Source organism: Homo sapiens, chromosome 12, assembly GCF_000001405.40.
Source record: "Homo sapiens chromosome 12, GRCh38.p14 Primary Assembly".
Classification (NCBI taxonomy): Eukaryota; Metazoa; Chordata; class Mammalia; order Primates; family Hominidae; genus Homo; species Homo sapiens.
Window position 1 is genome coordinate 109,206,447 of NC_000012.12, and position 19,829 is coordinate 109,226,275.

General features: G+C 47.1%; 1 protein-coding gene across 17 annotated transcripts in view; it reads left to right on the top strand.

Moving 5' to 3' along the window:
• Positions 1-19,829, top strand: part of ACACB (acetyl-CoA carboxylase beta) — a 157,038-nt gene that overhangs the window by 95,258 nt on the left and 41,951 nt on the right. For 14 of the 17 annotated variants that reach the window (XR_007063072.1, XM_047428764.1, NM_001412734.1 and 11 more), the window contains 8 exons: positions 264-410; positions 2,719-2,907; positions 6,390-6,490; positions 10,172-10,260; positions 10,350-10,474; positions 16,061-16,174; positions 16,353-16,466; positions 17,369-17,458. Coding sequence is in view for 16 of the 17 variants with exons in the window: in XM_047428764.1 (XP_047284720.1) it covers positions 264-410; positions 2,719-2,907; positions 6,390-6,490; positions 10,172-10,260; positions 10,350-10,474; positions 16,061-16,174; positions 16,353-16,466; positions 17,369-17,458 (969 nt within the window). In the remaining variant the exon portion in view is untranslated. Of the gene's footprint in view, positions 1-263; positions 411-2,718; positions 2,908-6,389; positions 6,491-10,171; positions 10,261-10,349; positions 10,475-16,060; positions 16,175-16,352; positions 16,467-16,832; positions 17,315-17,368; positions 17,459-19,829 lie in introns of those variants that run through there. The other 3 variants (XM_011538263.4, NM_001412738.1, NM_001412741.1) reach the window with 2 other exon arrangements.

Sequence of the window (19,829 nt, forward strand, 5' to 3'; positions counted from 1 at the left end):
GATCTCACCGCCACCCCACAAAACTGTCTGGGGTGTGAAACTGTGTACTGGGCCATTTGCAAAAGGAATGGTTTGGAAAACCCACATTGGGGTGTGAGTTTGGCCGTTTTAACTTTCCAGTTCATTGTCTTTGATTTTTTCCTCAGACCTCATCCTCACTTGATTACGGAAGCCGGCAGATCTGTCCTGCCTCCCGTTCTGCCCGGTCCCATTTGGAATTCCCAGAGTTTTCCTGACCTGTCGTTCTTGTGGTGTCTCATCAGGCTGAACCGTTCACAGGAGAACTCCCTGCCCAGCAGACACTGCCCATCCTCGGAGAGAAACTGCACCAGGTCTTCCACAGCGTCCTGGAAAACCTCACCAACGTCATGAGTGGCTTTTGTCTGCCAGAGCCCGTTTTTAGCATAAAGGTAAAGTCACCTATGAGCGCAGGCGTGTAGACCAGTGCGGAGGGTCAGAAGATCTACCCCGTGACAGCAGAGGTCATTATTGAGTAAGAAATGAGAAAATGGTCGGTCCTCTGTTGTTTTTATTTTATTTATTTTATTTTTTCAGACAAGGTCTCACTCTGTCACCCAGACTCACTGCAGCCTCGACCTCCTGGGCTCAAGAGATCCTACCACCTCAGCCTCCCACGTAGCTGGGACTATAGGTGCACCCCACCACGCCCGGCTAATTTTTTGTATTTTTGTAGAGATGGCATTTTGCCATGTTCCCCACGCTGGTCTTGAACTCTTGGGCTCAAGTGATCCATCCGCCTGGGCCTCCCAAAGTGCTGGGATTACAGGCCTGAGCCACCGCACCCAGCCCCTCGGTTGTGTTTATGAAGGACCTGTCCTCAGGGAATTCCTCAATTCAATTGTAAACATTGGCCTGACTTTTTCTCCTTGATCGTAAACTGGGCTTGTAGCAGTTCAGCTCAAGACTGAGAATACTCCAGTAGGACATTAAGGAAGGAGTCAGTGGGGGTCACCCTGCTTAAGGAGATGACAGACAAGGCACTTTGTTTGAAACACACCTCTGTTCGTCATTCACCCTTGCTGGGTCTCATCTGCTCACTCAGTAGAGAAACAAGAAGTTCTCTGATTTGCAGACCTCCTTGAAAGACCCATGATGCTCATAGCAGTGACTAAGCATCACACTGTGTGCTGTACCGGGTCCGTCTCAGGAGAGCAAATCATGATGGTGATGACGATAATAACCGCCAACCCTTAGCAAGTATGTACCATGTGTCACCCCCCTTTGTTTTTGAGAGGGAGCCTTGCTCTGTCACCCACACCAAAGTGTGGTGGCACGATCTTGTCTCACTGTAACCTCTGCCTCCCAGGTTCAAGCGATTCTCCTGCCTCAGCCTCCCGAGTAGCTGGGATTACAGGCGTGTGCCACCATACCCAGCTAATTTTTGTATTTTTTAGTAGAGACGGGGTTCTACCGTGTTGGCCAGGCTGGTCTTGAACTCCTGACCTCAGGTGATCCACCCACCTTGGCCTCCCAAAGTACTGGGATTACAGGCGTGAGCCACCGTGCCCGCTGTGTCACCTTCTAACTACTTAAAAGTTCAATCATTTCATCCTCCCAGCAACCGATAAGGTAGGAACTCTTATTTCCACTTACAGTTGAGGCAACTGAGGGACACAGAGACTAAGAGACTTGCTGTGCTTCATACATGAGGAGGCAAAGATGAGATCTGAACCATGGCCATCAGGATTCTGACTCTGTGCTCTTCGCCCCCACGTTATGCTGCCTGATGATTATTACCACCATTGCAACATTTTTTTTTTTTTTTTGGAGACAGGGTCTTGCTCTGTCTCCCAGGCTGGAGTACAGTGGGGGAAACACTGCTCACTACAACCTCGACCTCTGGGTTCAAGCAATCATCCCACTTCAGCCTTCCAAGTAGCTGGGGTTACAGGTGCCTGCCACCACACCCAGCTAATTTTTTGTAGAGACGGGGTCTCGCCATGTTGCCCAGGCTGGTCTCGAACTTCTGGGCTCAAGTGATCCTCCCGCCTTGGCCTCCCAAAGTGTTCAGATTACAGGCATCAGCCACCGCACCCCACAATAATTGCAACTTTTATTAGTTGGGGCACTTCGCAGTTTATGCATCAGTTCACTTTGAAACCTCACAACCACACTAGGATGTTGGCCCCACTATCATCGTCATCCAAAGACCATCAGCATTGGCTACTGAGACACCCCGGAAACAGCATAGGGCAGCAGTTCAGAGTCTCAGGAGCTGAATAGCCTGGGTTTGCTTCTTACTAGCTGAGTGACTTTGGTTAACTTAACTAACCTCTCTGTGTTTCAGTTGCCTCAATTGCAAAATGGACAAAATCATTAGACTTCCTTTATATGGTTGCTTTTAGGGATCAAATGATAACATGAAAAGAAAGTTCCTAGAACACTGTCTGGCACTAAGCAAGTATCCTATAAACATCAGCTCATCATGTGACCTTATGTTTGATCCCCCACACCATGCTGGCTTTCTGATGCACAGAGAGGGGGAGTCAGGGTCTTCCTATGTAGGGAAACTGAGTATTCCCCTGTGGTCAGGGGGCCATTCCACTCTGGACTGCCCCAGAGGCTGCTGGGTCTGGATCTTCAGCCACTTGAGTGCATGGGGTCAGGATGGGTTGAGCTGTGTTGGGTGCCCTGTTTGGGGCGGTGGTGCCCATGCCCATGCAGGGCTGGGGGCTGATGCTGTGGTCCCCGCTTCAGCTGAAGGAGTGGGTGCAGAAGCTCATGATGACCCTCCGGCACCCGTCACTGCCGCTGCTGGAGCTGCAGGAGATCATGACCAGCGTGGCAGGCCGCATCCCCGCCCCTGTGGAGAAGTCTGTCCGCAGGGTGATGGCCCAGTATGCCAGCAACATCACCTCGGTGCTGTGCCAGTTCCCCAGCCAGCAGGTGCGTGCTCCCCTGCCCAGCCCCACCCCACCAGGATGGTCACACTGGGCCGGCTCCCGGTCTGGCTCGATATCTGGCCTCTGATCAAGTTGAACTCCTTGAGACCCACTTATAGCCTAACATATCAGGGGCCGAGGGTTTCCTTTTGAGCCTTGTCTGCAGAATCCTATCATTTACTCAAAGCAACAGTTGTTTGAATGAACATCAGTATTCCTTAGGCCTCATTGCCTAAAACCCAAGATTCTGAATAGGAGTGAGCAGTTGTTGCAGATGGAGTGAGCATTTCCCAAAAAATAAACTGGCTGACATCATTAGAGGAAACTGCAAGTTTTTTTATTTTTGTTTTTTCACTGGTTTGCAGCTTTGATTTTCTGCCCCTGGATTTTGTAGGTGATCATCTGGGAGCTCCATGTATGTGTGTGTGTGTGTGTATCTGTGTGTATATATATATACACACACATATATATGCATATATATACACATACACACACGTGTGTATATATGTATATACACACATACACACACGTGTGTATATATGTATATACACACATACACACACGTGTGTATATATGTGTATACACACATACACACACGTGTGTGTATATATGTGTATACACACATACACACACGTGTGTGTATATATGTGTATATGTGTATATATACACACGTGTGTATATATGTGTATATGTGTATATATACACACACGTGTGTATATATGTGTATATATGTATATATACACACATGTGTGTGTATATGTATATATACACGTACATGTATGTGTGTATATATGTATATATACACACGTGTGTATATGTATATATGTATATATACACACGTGTGTATATGTATATATGTATATATACACACATGTGTGTATATGTATATATGTATATATACACACATGTGTGTATATGTACATATACACACACATATCTGTGTGTATATGTATATATACACACACATATCTGTGTATATATGTATATACACGCACACACATATCTGTGTATATATGTATATACACGCACACACATGTGTATATATGTATATACACGCACACACATGTGTATATATGTATATACACGCACATACATGTGTATATATGTATATATACGCACATACATGTGTATATGTGTATATATACATGTATGTGTATATACGCACATACATGTGTATATGTGTATATATACGTGCATGTATATATACATATATACATGTATGTGTGTATATACATATAAACATATATATGTATATATATAATATTTTTTAAGAATTATACTGAGGTCGGGTGCATTGGCTCACGCCTGTAATCCCAGCACGTTGGGAGGCCAGGGCAGGTGGATCACTTGAGGTCAGGAGTTCGAGACCAGCCTGGTCAACATGGTGAAACCCCATCTATACTAAAAAAAAAAAATTAGCTGGGCGTGGTGTTGCACACCTGCAATCCCAACTACTCAGGAGGCTGAGGCAGGAGAATTGCTTGAACCCAGGAGGTGGAGGTTGCAGTGAGCCGAGATCGCACCACTGTGCTCCAGAAAAAAAAAAAAGAATGTACTGAGATGTCTTATCATAATCATAGTTGCATTTGTGAACATGTTAAAAAAAAAAAAAGAATGGAAGCCATTCCAGGGAAGTAAGAAATATCTCTGTTATTTACACATCGGCCTCGCGTTGTTCATTTTGTTGTGGTTGTTGGTTTTGTGGGGCATTTGAAAGGCATTTGCACTGGGAAGAGCCCCTCTGCCTGTTTGCCTTCCTGCCCTCTGGTGGGAGGGTTCCCCACCATCATCATCCACCCACCCACAAATTGGTGATTTGGGAAACCAGAGGACAGTGTAGTTCAGGCCATTCTCGGAGGTTAGGAGTTCTATGGGTTGGAATGTTGTTCAGCCAAAGAAAGAAAGAATACTGATTCATGCTCCCACGTGGATGAACCTATTGTGCTAAGGGAAATAAGCCAGGCACAAAAGACCACATATTATGTGATTCCTCTTTTTTTTTTTTTTTTTTTTTTGAGACCTCCCGAATAGTTGGGATTACAGGTGTACACCACCATTCCCAGCTATTTTTTTGTATTTTTTTAGTGAAGATGGGTTTTCACCATGTTGGCCAGGCTGGTCTTGAACTCCTGACCTCAGGTGATCTGCCTGCCTCGGCCTCCCAGAGTGCTGGGATTACAGGCATGAGCCATGGTGCCCAGCCCTGTGTGATTCCAATTTTATGAAATGTCCAGAATAGGCACGTTCATGAAGAAGGAAGTAGATTAGTGGCCGCCAGGGGCTGCAGTGCAGGGAAAATGGAGAGTGAGCGCTAATGACTACAAGGTTTCTTTTTAGAGTGACGAAAATGCTTTAAAATTAGATGGTGGTGATAGTTGCACAACTTTATGAATACACTACCAACCACTGAATGTACACTTTAAAGGGAGATGGTGGAATATGATGGTGTGTAAGTTATATCTGAACTAAAAAATAACAAAAGCCAAACTCTAGAGGATCCTAACTGAAAAAGTACACACTTGGAACTTTCAGGAATTTGTCATTGATCCAGGTTTTTTTTTCTTTAAAAATATTTTTGATGCCAAAGGCAATACACCGATAACATTATGTGTAATGATAAAGACAGGACCCTTCCCCATGAGCACCCTGGTTTTTGCTAGAGTGGGACATTCCCATCTCCTTGTTCCCCATCCCATTGATATGTGCGGAATGGTATAAGGCGAATGTGTGCACTCCTCCATGTGATCGCTGGCATTTTGAGCGCTTGAATTCCTCACCGTTGAGGGGATGAACAGGGGTGTTTCAGGGTAGCTGGAAGGCTTTGGGCCTGGAATTTTCAATCTTCAAATGAGTCTCGGATGGGACCTCCCTGGGAGGCTGTGGTGGGTCCTTTAGGTCAGCAGTTCCCAACCTTTTTAGCACCAGGGACCGGTTTTGTGGAAGATAGTTTTTCCACGGACCGGGGAGGGGGATGGTTTCGGGATGATTCAAGCACGTTACATTTATGGTGCACTTTATTTCTATTATGATTACATTGTAATATATAATGAAATAATTATACAACTCACCATAATGTAGAATCTGTGAGAGCCCCAGGCTTGTTTTCCTGCACCTAGAAGGTCCCATCTGGGGGTGATGGGAGACAGCGACAGATCATCAGGCCTTAGATTATCGTAACGAGCATGCAACCTAGGTCCCTCGCATGCACGGTTCACAGCAGGGTTTGCGCTCCTGTGAGAATCTAATGCTCCCGCTGATCTGACAGGAGGTGGAGCTCAGATGGTAATGTGAGCAATGGGGAGGGGCTGTAAATACAGATGAAGCTTCGCTCCCTCACCCACTGCTTACCTCCCACTGTTCAGCCAGTTCCTAACAGGCCACGGACCAGTGCTCGTTTGGGTACTGGTTTGGGGACCCTTTCTTTAGGGGACTGCTGTGTGTCATCTGAATCATCAGCAGTCAGACCTGTCTTGTTTTCCCATCCAGATAGCCACCATCCTGGACTGCCATGCAGCCACCCTGCAGCGGAAGGCTGATCGAGAGGTCTTCTTCATCAACACCCAGAGCATCGTGCAGTTGGTCCAGAGGTGAATCCTGGGTCTCCCCGTAGGATGTGGTTGTCACCTGAATCGTCGCATGCATTGCACCAGGGTGGTGCTCTGGGGCTGTCTTCAGGGCAGGCTTGAACTGAGAGAAAGTGTGTTATAGTCCTGCAGTGCCATTACTAACAGCAGAACCCTGGGTGAGGTACTTTACTTCTGTAAATCTCTGTTTGTAAATCTCAGCTCACTGCAACCTCCGCCTCCCAGGTTCAAGCAATTCTCCTGCCTCAGCCTCCCGAATAGCTGGGATTACGGGCATGTGCCACCATGCCTGGCTAATTCTTGTACTTTTAGTAGAGACGGTGTTTCACCATGTTGGCCAGGCTGGTCTCGAACTCCTGACCTCAAGTGATCCATTCTCCTCGACCTCCCAAAGTGCTGGGATTACAGGCCTGAGCCACCATGTCTGGCCTATAAATGTATTAAGTTTTGTGAAGTGCTGACAAATAGTAAATACTTGATAGATACATTAGATTGAGACAATGGGATGAAATAGCTTTATGTATGATAAAACACTGCAAAAATTGTTATTGTGGCTTTTGGGACAATTGCAAAGGAAAGTGGATGAATAATTGTATTTCATCTCAAGTAGTTATTTATTGTACAGGGGTTTCCCGCTGCAGGACTATTCTGATGACAAAAGGATTTTCTTTGTTTTTTTGAGATGGAGTTTCGCTCTGTCGGCCAGGCTGGAGTGTAATGGTTCGATCTTGGCTCACTGCAAGCTCCGCCTCCCGGGTTCACGCCATTCTTCTGCTGCCTCAGCCTCCCGAGTAGCTGGAACTACGGGCGCCCAACACCACGCCCGGCTAATTTTTTTGTGTGTTTTTAGCAGAGATGGAGTTTCATCATGTTAGCCAGGATGGTCTCAATCTCCTGACCTCGTGATCCCCCTGCCTCGGCCTCCCAAAGTGCTGGGATTACAGGTGTGAGCCACTGCACCCGGCTGACAAAAGGATTTTCTGCCACTTTTCATGAAAAATCCACCTAGCAAGAAGGCTTTCCTTATGAAGACAATCAGGGCCAGGCGCTGTGGCTTATGCCTGTAATCCCAGAATTTTGGGAGGCCAAGGCAAGAGGATCACTTGAGGCCAGGAGTTGGAGACCAGCCTGGGTGATGTAGCGAGACCCTGTCTCTACAAAAAAAAAAGAAAAAAAAAATGAGTCGGGGATGGTGGTGTGTACCTATAGGCCCAGCTACTCAGGAGGCTGAGGTGAGAGGACTGCTTGAGCCCAGGAGTTCGAGGTTATAGTGAGCTGTGATCGCGCCATTGCACTCCAGCCTGGGGACAGAGCAAGACCTTGTCTTTTATGAAAAAGAAAAAAGGAATCAAAGCATTCTTGGATTTGAACCAGTAAATTCCAGGCATGTTTCCCATGTGCCAGAAACTCACAGGTACAAAGAATGTGAGATTGTAGAAAACTGGCCTCCTTTTCAAGGAGCTCCTCAGCTGTTAGGGAGAGAGATTTTAGTGTGGATTCCCCACAAACTGCAAGTTTCACAGCCAAGGGCTAGGAAGGGAGTCCTCCTAAAACACATAGACTGCTAACCTTAAGCCCATCCTTTAAGCTTCAGAGAAACATCTAGGAAAAATGAACCATTAATAAATTAACTGAATTTTCTAGCAAGTTTTCTGTGCTGACCATAAATATTAAAGCCCTGTCCTGTATTGTGTAAGTATGTTTTAAAATCACATTTGTATCAGAGTCTTTTAGCATCTTGGTCTGTTTTGTTGTGATTTGGTGATGCTGCCATGAAGCGTCTACTTCCCCACAACTCAGTGGCGCATCTCCTGAGAAACTTGACTCCTGTGTTCAGATTTTTGGAAGAACATCCAGGTTAAAACTTTGTTTTAAAAGAAGCGGCTAGGTGCGATGGCTCACACCTATAATCCCAGCACTTTGGGAGGCCAAGGCGGATGGATTGCTTGAGCTCAGAGGTTCGAGACCAGCCTGGGCAATATGGTGAAACCCTGTCTACAAAATATACAAAAATTAGCCAGGCTTGGTGGTGGCCACCTGTGGTCCCAGCTACTCCAGAGGCTGAGGTGAGAGGATTGCTTGAGCCCGGGAGGCAGAGATTACAGTGAGCTGTGATTGCACCACTGCACTCCAGCCTGGGTGGCAGAACAAAACCTCGTCTCAAAAAAAAGAAAAAAAAAAAGGGAGAAGCAAAATTTACATGGGGATCTTTTGGTAAATGTTTTTCCAGTTTGTCTTTTTAAAATGGTCTCTATACCTTGGGTAAGTAATTGAAAAATTTTGTTTTTAACAGTTAAAGCTTGCTAAAATTGGCTACCCCTGTTCAGTATCCGAAATCTATGAAGTTTTTTTTTTTTCTTAACTCTGTGGCCAGAAAGGCGCCCTCCCAAGTATAAGGCTTGGGATCTACCTACTCCAGTTTTGCCTCCAGTTTGATGTGGGACTTTGGGCAGGGCAGTGTTCTTTTTGGCCTGCAGATGAATCAACTCCATATCCTTTGAAGGCCTCAGGATTAGAGGGTGCCTCTAGATACTTTAAAAAAATTTTTGGCTGGGCGCGGTGGCTCATGCCTGTAATCCCAGCACTTTGGGAGGCCAAGACAGCCGGATCATGAGGTCAGGAGATCGAGACCATCCTGGCTAACACGGTGAAACCCCGTCTCTACTAAAAATACAAAAAAATTAGCCGAGCGTGGGTGGCAGGCGCCTGTAGTCCCAGCTACTCGGGAGGCTGAGGCAGGAGAATGGCGTGAACCCGGGAGGTGGAGCTTGCAGTGAGCCGAGAATCGTGCCACCGCACTCCAGCCTGGCCGACTGAGCGAGACTCTGTTTCAAAAAAAAAAATGTATTTTTAAATTAACTAATTAATTAATTTTTATTTATTTATTTTGAGACAAGCTGTCACCCAGGCTGGAGTGCAGCAGTGCAATCATAGCTCACAACAGCCTTGACCTCCTGGGCTCAAGCGATCCTATCACCTCAGCCTCCTATGTAGCTAGGACCACAGTCATGCGCTACCACTCCCGGCTAATTTTTTTGATTTTTTTGTAAAGACAAGGTCTCACCTTGTTGCCCAGGCTGCTCTTGAACTTCTGAGCTCAAATGATACTCACGCCTCAGCCTCCCAAAGTGCTGGGATTATTGGTGTGAGCCACCATGCCTGGCCTTAATTTTTTTGTTTTGTTTTGTAGATATGGGGTCTTGGCTATATTGCCCAGGCTTGAACTCCTGGGCTCCAGTGATCCTCCCACCTCAGTGTCCTTTCTAAAATCCTTTCTCTCTCTCTCTTTTTTTTTTTTTTTTTTTTGAGACGGAGTCTTGCTCTGTCGCCCAGGCTGGAGTGCAGTGGTGCGATCTCGGCTCACTGCAACCTCCTCTTCCCGGATTCAAGCTATTCTCATGCCTCAGCCTCCTGAGTAGCTGGGACTACCGGCGCGTGCCACCATGCCCAGCTAGTTTTTGTATTTTTAGTAGAGACAGGGTTTCACCATTTTGGCCAGGCTGGTCTCGATCTCTTGACCTCGTGATCTGCCTGCCTCGGCCTCCCAAAGTGCTGGGATTACAGGCATGAGCCACCATGCCCAGCCAATCCTTTCTCTTTTTAAAAATCATAAAAAAAAATACTAAATATTCAGGTACTCAAGGAAGGGTGTGAGCATTAAGAGCAGCCTTCCCTTCTCCCCAGATACCGCAGCGGGATCCGCGGCTATATGAAAACAGTGGTGTTGGATCTCCTGAGAAGATACTTGCGTGTTGAGCACCATTTTCAGCAAGGCAAGAGATGCTGATGCCAACACCAGTGGGATGGTGGGGGGCGTGAGGAGCCTGAGCTTTACCTCTGTGTGGTGTTTTGTCTCCCCCAGCCCACTACGACAAGTGTGTGATAAACCTCAGGGAGCAGTTCAAGCCAGACATGTCCCAGGTGCTGGACTGCATCTTCTCCCACGCACAGGTGGCCAAGAAGAACCAGCTGGTGATCATGTTGATCGTAAGCAGGAAGAGGGCCTGTTACTAGACTGGGGGTGGGTCAGGAGTCCACAAACGTTTTCTTAAAAGGGCCAGAAAGTGGCTGGGTGCGGTGGCTCATGCCTGTAATCCCATCACTTTGGGAGGCTGAGGCGGGCAGATCACTTGAGGTTAGGAGTTTGAGACCAGCCTGGCTAACATAGTGAAACCTCGTCTCCACTAAAAATACAAAAATTAGCTGGCCATGGTGGTGCATACCTGTAATCCCAGCTACTTGGGAGGCTGAAGCAGAAGGATCGCTTGAACCCTGAAGGCAGAGGTTGCAGTGAGCCGAGATTGTGCCATTGCACTCCAGCCTGGGCAACAGGGTGAGATTCTGTCTCAAAAAATAAATAAAAGAAAAAGTAAGCCAGCAAGTAAATTTTTTAGACTTTGCAGGTTGGTGTGGTCTCTGTCGTGACCACTCAACACTGCCTTTGTACAATGTAAGGGAATGGGCATGGCTGTGTTCCCATAAAACTTTGTTGGGAGCCCGAGGTGGGAGGATCACTTGAGCCTAGGAGTTCAAGTCCAGCCTAGGCAACATTGCAAGACTCCATTTCTTAGAAAAAAAATTAAAACTGGGCACTGTGGCTCACATCTGTAATCCCAGCACTTTGGGTGGCTGAGGCAGGAGAATCACTCGAGGCCAGGAGTTTGAGACGAGCCTGGGCAACATAGGGAGACCCCCATCTCTACAAAAAGTACAAAAATTAGCCAGGTGTGGTGGTGTGCACCTGTAGTCCCAGCTACTCAGGGGGCTGAGGCAGGAGGATTGCTTGAGCCTGGGATGTTGAGGCTGCAGTAAGCTGTGATCACACCACTACACTCCAGCCTGGGTGACAGAATGAGATCCTGTCTCAAAAAACAACAAAAAAAATCCCAACTTTGTATACAAAAACAGGCAATGAGTCGGGTTTGTTGGCACTGGGAAGATCATGACTAATGCAAAGCACCTAGTTTGTGCCAGGTACTCCTGAAGTGCTTTCCAAATAAATAGTTGCTCATTTAATTCACGCAGCAGTCCTAGAAAGTGGGTACTGCTGTCACAGCTCTTTGGCAGAGCACAGAGAGGTTAAGCCACTTGCCCAAGGGCACCCAGCTCCTAAATGTAGAGCCAGGATTTGAACCAATAGTCTGACTCCAGACTCATGAACTATTAGCCGCAGGATATTGGATTTTGAGTCCTGTGTGTGGAGAAGAAGAAATATGGAGTCTCTGTTCTTGTTTCTCTTTCCACTCGATGATAGCAGTCTTTTGTTTTTTGTCTGTTTTTTCTTTTGAGACAGGGTCTCGCTCTGTTGCCCAGGCTGGAGTGCAGTGGTGCCATCATGGCTCACTGTAGCCTCTATCCCCTGGGCTTAAGCCATCCTCCCACCTCAGCCTCCCAAGTAGCTGGGATTACAGACTCACACCACCACGCCCAGCTAGTTTGTTTGTTTGTTTGTTTGTTTGTTTGTTTGTTTTGTAGAGATGAGGTCTCACTATGTTTCCCAGTCTTGTCTCGAACTCCCGCGCTCAAGCAATCCTCCTGCCTTGGCCTCCCAAAGTGCTGGGATTACAGGCATAAGCCACTGCGCCTGGCCGATAATAGCAGTCTTTTATAACTAAAAATATTTTTCTTTGATATGTCCCTTGCAACTGACTTGGAAAATGTAGGATCAGCAGAGTAAGAGCAACTTGGACTTGGCTTATAGTAGAAAGGGGTTTGGCAATTTTTTTTTTTTTTTTTTTGAGATGGAGTCTTGCTCTGTCGCCCAGGCTGGGGTGCAATGGCATAATCTTGGCTCACTGCAACCTCCGCCTCCCGGGTTCTATCTATCTTCTATCTATCTTTTTTTTTTTTTTTGAGGCAGAGTCTCACTCTATCCCCCAGGCTGGAGTGCAGTGGCACGATCTCTGTTCACTGCAACCTCCACCTCCAGGGTTCAAGCAATTCTCCTGTCTCAGCCTCGTTTAGCTGGGATTACAGGCATGCGCCACCACGCCCGGCTAATTTTTGTGTTTTTAGTAGAGACGTGGTTTCACCATGTTAGCCAGGCTGGTCTTGAATTCCTGACCTCAGGTGATCCACCAGCCTCGGCCTCCCAAAGTGCTGGGATTATAGACATGAGCCACCACGCCCGGCCTGGCAACTTTTTTTTGTAAAGGGCTCCAGATAGTAAAGATTTTAGGCTTGAGGACGTCCACCCCCTATTGCCACTACTCAGCTCTGTGAGCTCTGCCACTGTAGCCTGAAAACTAGACAATAGGTACATGAATGAGGGTGGCTATGTTCCAATAAAACTTTATTTACAAAAACAGTCAGTAGGCAGAGTTTGGCCACGATCTCAGAGAATAGTTAATACCCTGTCCCCTGTCCAAGTTGCATTAATAAATATTGGGATTTTTGGTAAAGAATCATTTAAAAATCTCACGCAGCAGCTTTTAATCCTGGCTGTACATTAGAATCACCTAGGGGGTGGGGAGACTTAAAAAATACAATTGCCCATGCCCCACCCTTGGTCAATTTAATCAGAGTTTCTAGGGGTAGGGCCCAGGCATTAGTGCTTTTTGAAAGTTTCCCTGTGGGAAACCTAAATGTGCACTGTATATTAGATAATATTATTGGTTTAATGTTCAGTTTCTTTGGTGTTTTAATGGTTCTGTAGTAGGTGGAAGGGAGATATGTGCGAAAATAGTGTAAAGGATTGTGGTGTCTGCAACTGACTTTCAGAAAAAGAGAGAGTGTGTATGTGTATGCGCACGTACGTTCTTATTAGAGAAAAATCAAATATGATAATGTGGCAAAAGTTTTAACAATTAGTGAATCTAGGTGATTACTATGGGTTTTTAACATACTGATCTTCAATTCTTCTGTAGTTTTGAAGTTTGTAAAAATTAATTGGGAGAGAGGACTCTCCAAGTGATTGCAACACGCAGCCAGGACTGGGAATTTATGCCCAAGGAGATATCCACTCTTTGGGGGGAGTTCTATTACTAAAATAATATAATGTTTTTCAAAATACATTCTTTGGATGGAGTTTCCTGGAGTTTGAGTGTTTGTCAAGCAAAATATGCCTGTAATCTATTACAGTCAGCTTGCCATTCAAAGGCAGTGGGTCTGTGGGTTATTTTGCTGTTCGTTCTTCTGTGCACATATTGACTCTCTTCTGGGCATGAAGTCATGAAATATCATGTACACCAGAGGACAGCCAAGGGAAGATGGGTGGAGCAGCCCCCAGTTCTTGGGAATTGGGACATTTTCCTGGACCTCCTTGGTGATAGAGGCTAAAAATGTTGAACCAATTACAGTCTCGGGATAAATGTGAGATTCATTATTCTTCTGACTTTCTTGGTCCCATTTGTTAGAAAATAGTGAGTTCTCTGCACCTGATGGTATTTGGTACCTGAGAGGTTTTGAACAAAGACTTGTGAATTGAATGATTATTTCGAAATGAATTTTTTTGAGGCTTTTAAAGGGACCTAGTTTCTGACACCAGTTCACTGGTCATGGGACTTCGTTAGTGACAAAACGAAGCAAACAAAACATGATTCTGAGAACTAAAATATACAAGATGAGACTGCTTCACAAAGTTAACAAGAAAGAAAAATGGTGTTGTTGTTGTTGTTGTTGTTGTTTGTTTGTTTTCGAGACAGAGTCTTGCTCTGTCACCCAGGTTGGAGTGCAGTGGCGCAATCTCGGCTCACTACAACCTCTGCCTCCTGGGTTCAAGTGATTCTCCTGCCTCAGCCTCCCGAGTAGCTGGGACTACAGGCACGTACCACCACACCTGACTAATTTTTTTGTAGTTTTAGTAGGAAACAGGGTTTTGCCATGTTGGCCAGGCTGGTCTTGAACTCTTGGCCTCAGATGATTTGTCCGCCTTGGCCTCCCAAAGTGCAGGGATTACAGGCCTGAGCCACCATGCCCTGCCTAGAAAAATGTTTTTGTTATTATTATTATTATCTTTTGTATGTAGAAGGCAATGGTTAGATTTTTTAACATTCACACTTAGATGTGTGGGGGGAAATTTAAAAAATGTTCACACAAACTCTTGAGTTTTTCACCTCTTAGAAAAGCACCAGTCTAGCTGCTGGCCAGCACCTGTGCTGTCTGGCCTGGGAGCCACATGCCTAGGGGATTGGTGGGGAGTTATGCCACCACCGTTTAATAATAGAAAGCAAATCAGAGAAGGGAGAGGAGATTTAGAACACTTTCCTACCACATTTCTTCAGCATTGATGTTCCTGTGTCTTTGTGTATGAAATATCAATATGTTGAAGTTTTTTCTGATGATAAAATCAGTCTCGGTTCATTATAATAGGAAAATGCAGAAACACATGTAGAAAAAAATGCCCCACAGCTCTACCATCTGGTGACCTCTTGAAGACCAGTCTTAGTGGATGCCCGGGGTGGGGAATGGGGGCATATTGCTCAGGAGCTCTGATATTTAGCATTCATTGCTCCATCTTCAGTGGGTGGTTAGGGAGCACCTGCGCTGAGCTGTTCCCAAGCCCCATATGCACTTAGGGCATAAGAGGAGATGCGAACACCGGCTGCACCCAGGCCTGGTCTCCAGCAGAAAGGCCCTTCTTTCAGAAGCAGAGAGGAGGGATGCAACACAGACACATTGTCCCTCCCTCTCCTGCAAGATTCAACCCCACGTCCCTCTCCTCTGAAACCGTGAGCGCCTTAAGTCAGGCAGCAATGTGTAGGGGAAGGAGCGGGAGGCTTTGGGGGCAGAATAGTGCTGTGTTCGAATCTGGCTCTGTCTTGCACATGTTTGCTGGCTTTGGGGTGAGGCATATTGCCTCTTTGAGCCTCAGTGTTCCTATCTGTAAAATGGGAATCAAAATAAGTAACTCTTCGTGGGGGTGGGAGAATTTGGGGAGTTGTATATAAAGGGTCTAGCTGTTTACTAGCCACCTGGCACATAGTATGTGCCTGATAATCACTGACCTTTTTTTTTTTTTTTGGGGGGGAGACAGAGTCTGGCTCTGTTGCCCAGGCTGGAGTACAGTGGTGCGATCTCAGCTCACTGCAACCTCCACCTCCCAAGGGATGATCAAATCATCCTCCCACCTCAGCCTTCTGAGTAGCTGGGACTACAGGCATGTGCCACCATGCCCGGCTAATTTTTCTATTTTTTTTTTTGTAGAGACAAGGTTTTGCGCTGTTGCCCAGGCTGGTCTCAAACTCCTGAGCTCAAGCGATCCTCCTGCCTCAGCCACCCAAAGTGCTGGGATTATAGGTGTGAGCCACCATGCCTGGCCTAATCACTGGCTATTAATAGTAACGTAGGCAGGGACTTAGTTGTATTTGTTTGTTCTTACCAGGCATTTAGGGCATGTTGTGGGGTGGATGAATGGGTGGCCGAGTGAGTGAGTGAGTGAGTGAATGAATGACTGACTGGGGTGGGTGCACAGTAGAAAGTGGTGAGGGTTTGCATAACAGGCTGTGCTGGGCCTGTTTGGAGAGTGGAGCAGCCGCCTGGCTTTTGCGGCAGGTGCTCCCCAAGTCGAGATGAGTGCTGCATGTTTCCCTGGGCTGGAGAAAAGCCATTTGGCTTCTTTTTCTGTCCCCTAAGGATGAGCTGTGTGGCCCAGACCCTTCCCTGTCGGACGAGCTGATCTCCATCCTCAACGAGCTCACTCAGCTGAGCAAAAGCGAGCACTGCAAAGTGGCCCTCAGAGCCCGGCAGGTAGGGTCTCAGGGTGCGGTCCCCACGATGTGCGTTTCCCCCCACCCTCCTATGTGTCCCCTACCGTGCTCAGCCCTCACCATGCACAGTCCCACCGTGCTGCCGGCCCGTGCCCGAGCCTCTGCCTTCTGCCCTGGGAGGTTGGCTCACGCCAGCGCCCCCATCCCTCCCCCTGCAGATCCTGATTGCCTCCCACCTCCCCTCCTACGAGCTGCGGCATAACCAGGTGGAGTCCATTTTCCTGTCTGCCATTGACATGTACGGCCACCAGTTCTGCCCCGAGAACCTCAAGGTGAGCCCGTCTCCTTCCTTTCACCATCTGCAGAGCACACACTGTGGCCCAGGTGGGGGCCTCTGGGGAAACGGCTCCTCCTGCCCTCCAGGTGCTCAGTGGGGTGCAGGGCACAGCCACAGATGCAGACAGTTCAGCCCAATGTGGCCAGGGCTGCCCGAGGGGTCACCTGGGGAGACTCTAGGAGAGGTGGGCATGGAGCCCAGTCCTCCAGGAAGGACAGTGTGACAGCAGTGGGGGCTCACCTGGTGCAGTTTACAAACCTCAGCCATATGGAGCATATCTGGAAGCTGTGAGCCCTCCTGTGGCTGAGTCGCGGCCTCATCTTCCCTATTCCTGGACTCTGGCTCATTTACATGTTCTCAGGTACCCCCTCAGTGCCTGATGGGAGACCTGTCCCAGGTGCCGTCATCCCGGAGTTCTTCACCAGCTCTCCTATGATTAAATAGGGGAGGAGCCCAGCGCGCTGCAGGGCACTGATCGCTTTTAGTGGTCAAAGCATGACTTCTGCCTGCTCCCACCGCCCCCACTCATCAGACTGGTGATTAAAAAACTTACTCACTGGCTGGGCACGGTGGCTCATGCCTGTAATCCCAGCACTCGGGAGGCCAAGACTGGAGGATCACTTAAGCCCAGGAATTTGAGGCCAGCCTGGGCAACATGTGAGACCCTGTCTCTACAAAAAATAGACACACAAAAAAAAGAGCCACGATGTTGGCGCACGCTGTAGTCCCAGCTGCTCAAGAGGTTGAGGTGGGGAGATCGCTTCAGCCTGGGAGTTTGAGGCTGCGGTGAGCTATGATCACACCACTGCACTCCAGTTTATCTCAAATAAAAACAAAGAAAAACCTGAAACTTGTTCACATTTACTTTTCCTTGTTTCCCCTTTTCATTTCCCTTAGAAATTAATACTTTCGGAAACAACCATCTTCGACGTCCTGCCTACTTTCTTCTATCACGCAAACAAAGTCGTGTGCATGGCGTCCTTGGAGGTAAGCAGGAGAGGCCCAGAGAACAGCACTGACCATGCCAGTTCTAGTGTTCACTGCCGCTACCATGCACCTGACCCTAGGCCACATGCCTTGGTGAATGTGATCCTATCCTTTTCTCTTCAAGGTAGCTATGTTAATAGTCCCATCTTACAGAGGAAGGAACTGAGGCTCAGAGAGGTCAAGTGACTTATGCAACGTCACACAGCTAGAAAGTGGCAGAACCAGGTTTTGCATTATTGGGTCTGCCTCATTCCAGATTCCATGCTAGTTACCACTGCTGTCTCATGTCATTCCAGCCTCTTCCAGGCAGGGCACATTAAATACTAATCCCTGAGAGCCAAGTCTGAGGCACCTCATCTAAACTTTCTGACTCACGTGCATTAAATACCTTTGAAAGACTTTTCTGCTTGGAACTGCCAGAGCTAGAGGAGCCCAGGTGACAACTTAAGGTGACCCCCTGCCCCCCGAGTGATGAGGTAGAAGGGCGTGGCCAGTAGCAAAACCCAGATTAGAGCCAGGTGATCCCAGGTGGTCTTGCTCCCGGGAGCAAGAATTCAGGTCTTCTTGAATTCAGGAACCAAGAAGTGTTGTGTTGGTTCCAGGAAATCAGAGTTTTAAATCTGCTCTTTTATTATTATTATTATTATTATTTTGAGACTCGCTTGTGCCTAGGGTGGAGTGCAGTGGCACTATCTCGGCTCACTGCAGCCTCTGCCTCCTGGGTTCAAATGATTCTCCTTCCTCAGCCTCCCCAGTAGCTGGGCCTACAGGCGCCCACCACCACACCTGGCTAATTTTTGTATTGTTAGTAGAGACAGGGTTTCACCATGTTGGCCAGGCTGGTCTGGAACTCCTGACCTCAAGTGATCTGCCTGCCTCAGCCTCCCAATAAATCTGCTGCCCTTTTAGAATCTTTTTAAGAAAATATGTTTTTAACACGGCCCTCTTACCCGGGTCTGCTTTGCTGGCAGTAGTTTTTCCAATATTCTTTATCTTCTGAGCTCAGAGTCTCAGTCCCCTGTTGCCCCCACTTTCTCTTCTGCATCCTTGGGAGCCTGTGAGTCACACAGTGAGAAGGTTTACTGGGTCTTCTGGAGACCATCTTGGGCTTGTTAGCATATTACAGCCACAGGGTCTCCTGGGCCTGCAACTTTTATTCCTCTATGGGTTTCACCTCTGGAAGAATCTTTCTCAGGCCTCACTCTTTGTTTCTAACAGGGAGACCTAATACACCTCTTCTGTAGTTACTTTAAACACAATTTTTGTTTTGTTAGAGACAGGTCTTGCCGTGTTGACCAGGCTGGACTTGAACTGCTACGCTCAAGCGATCCTCCTGCCTCACCCTCCCCAGTAGCTTGGACTACAGGTGCATGCCACCATGCTTGACTTACAGTTACTTTTTAAAGTGCTAAATGCTGTTTGTGTCAATTAGAGATTTTTCTAGGATGCTTTTGGGTTTTTTTATTTGTTTTGTTTTTCCACCACGCCCAGCTAATTTTTGTATATTTAGTAGAGATGGGGTTTTGCCATGTCATCCAGGCTGGCCTGGAATTCCTGGGCTCACGCGATCCACCTGCCTTGGCTCCCCAGAGTGCTGGGATTACAGGCGTGTGCCACCATGCCTGACCCCATTCTTGACAGGGAATGGTGGGAACCTTCCCCAAATTCAAGTTCCCCAGTGCTGGCCAAGGGCAAGTCTTTTAATGGAAAGCAATTATGTCTGCTAATTGCTGTATTAGCTCCTGCTGCCCAGTTCCCGCATTTCCTGTTCAGTTGAAAAGCTTCCAGTGTTTAAACTCCAGAACTGCATTGTCCACTATGGCAGCCACCAGCCACGTGTGGTTAGTGAGCACTTGAACTGCATCCAGTCTAAATCGAGCTGTGCTCTAAGTGGAAAATACACACTCCATTCCAAAGATGTAGTACTGTATGGAGAAAAGAATGTAAACCATCTCAATAATTTCTTATATTGATTACATGTTGAAATGATAATATTTGCATATGTGGGGTGAAATAAAATATATTATTAAAATTATTTTTTATCTTTTTTCTAAGTGGTTACTAGAAAATTTAAAATTATAGGCCAGGTGAGGTGGCTCATGCCTGTAATCCCAGCTCTTTAGGAGGCTGAGGTGGGAGAATCACTGAACTCAGGAGTTGCAGACCAGCCTGGGCAACATAGGAAGATCCTTTCTTTACTAAATATAAAAAACAAAAAAAATTAGCCAGGTGTGGTGGTGCCTGTAGTCCCAGCTACTTGGGAGGCTGAAGTGGGAGGATCCTTTGAGCTCAGGAGTTCAAGGCTGCAGTGGGTTATGATCTCACCACTGTACTCCAGCCTGGGTGATGGAGTGAGACCCTGTCTCAAAAG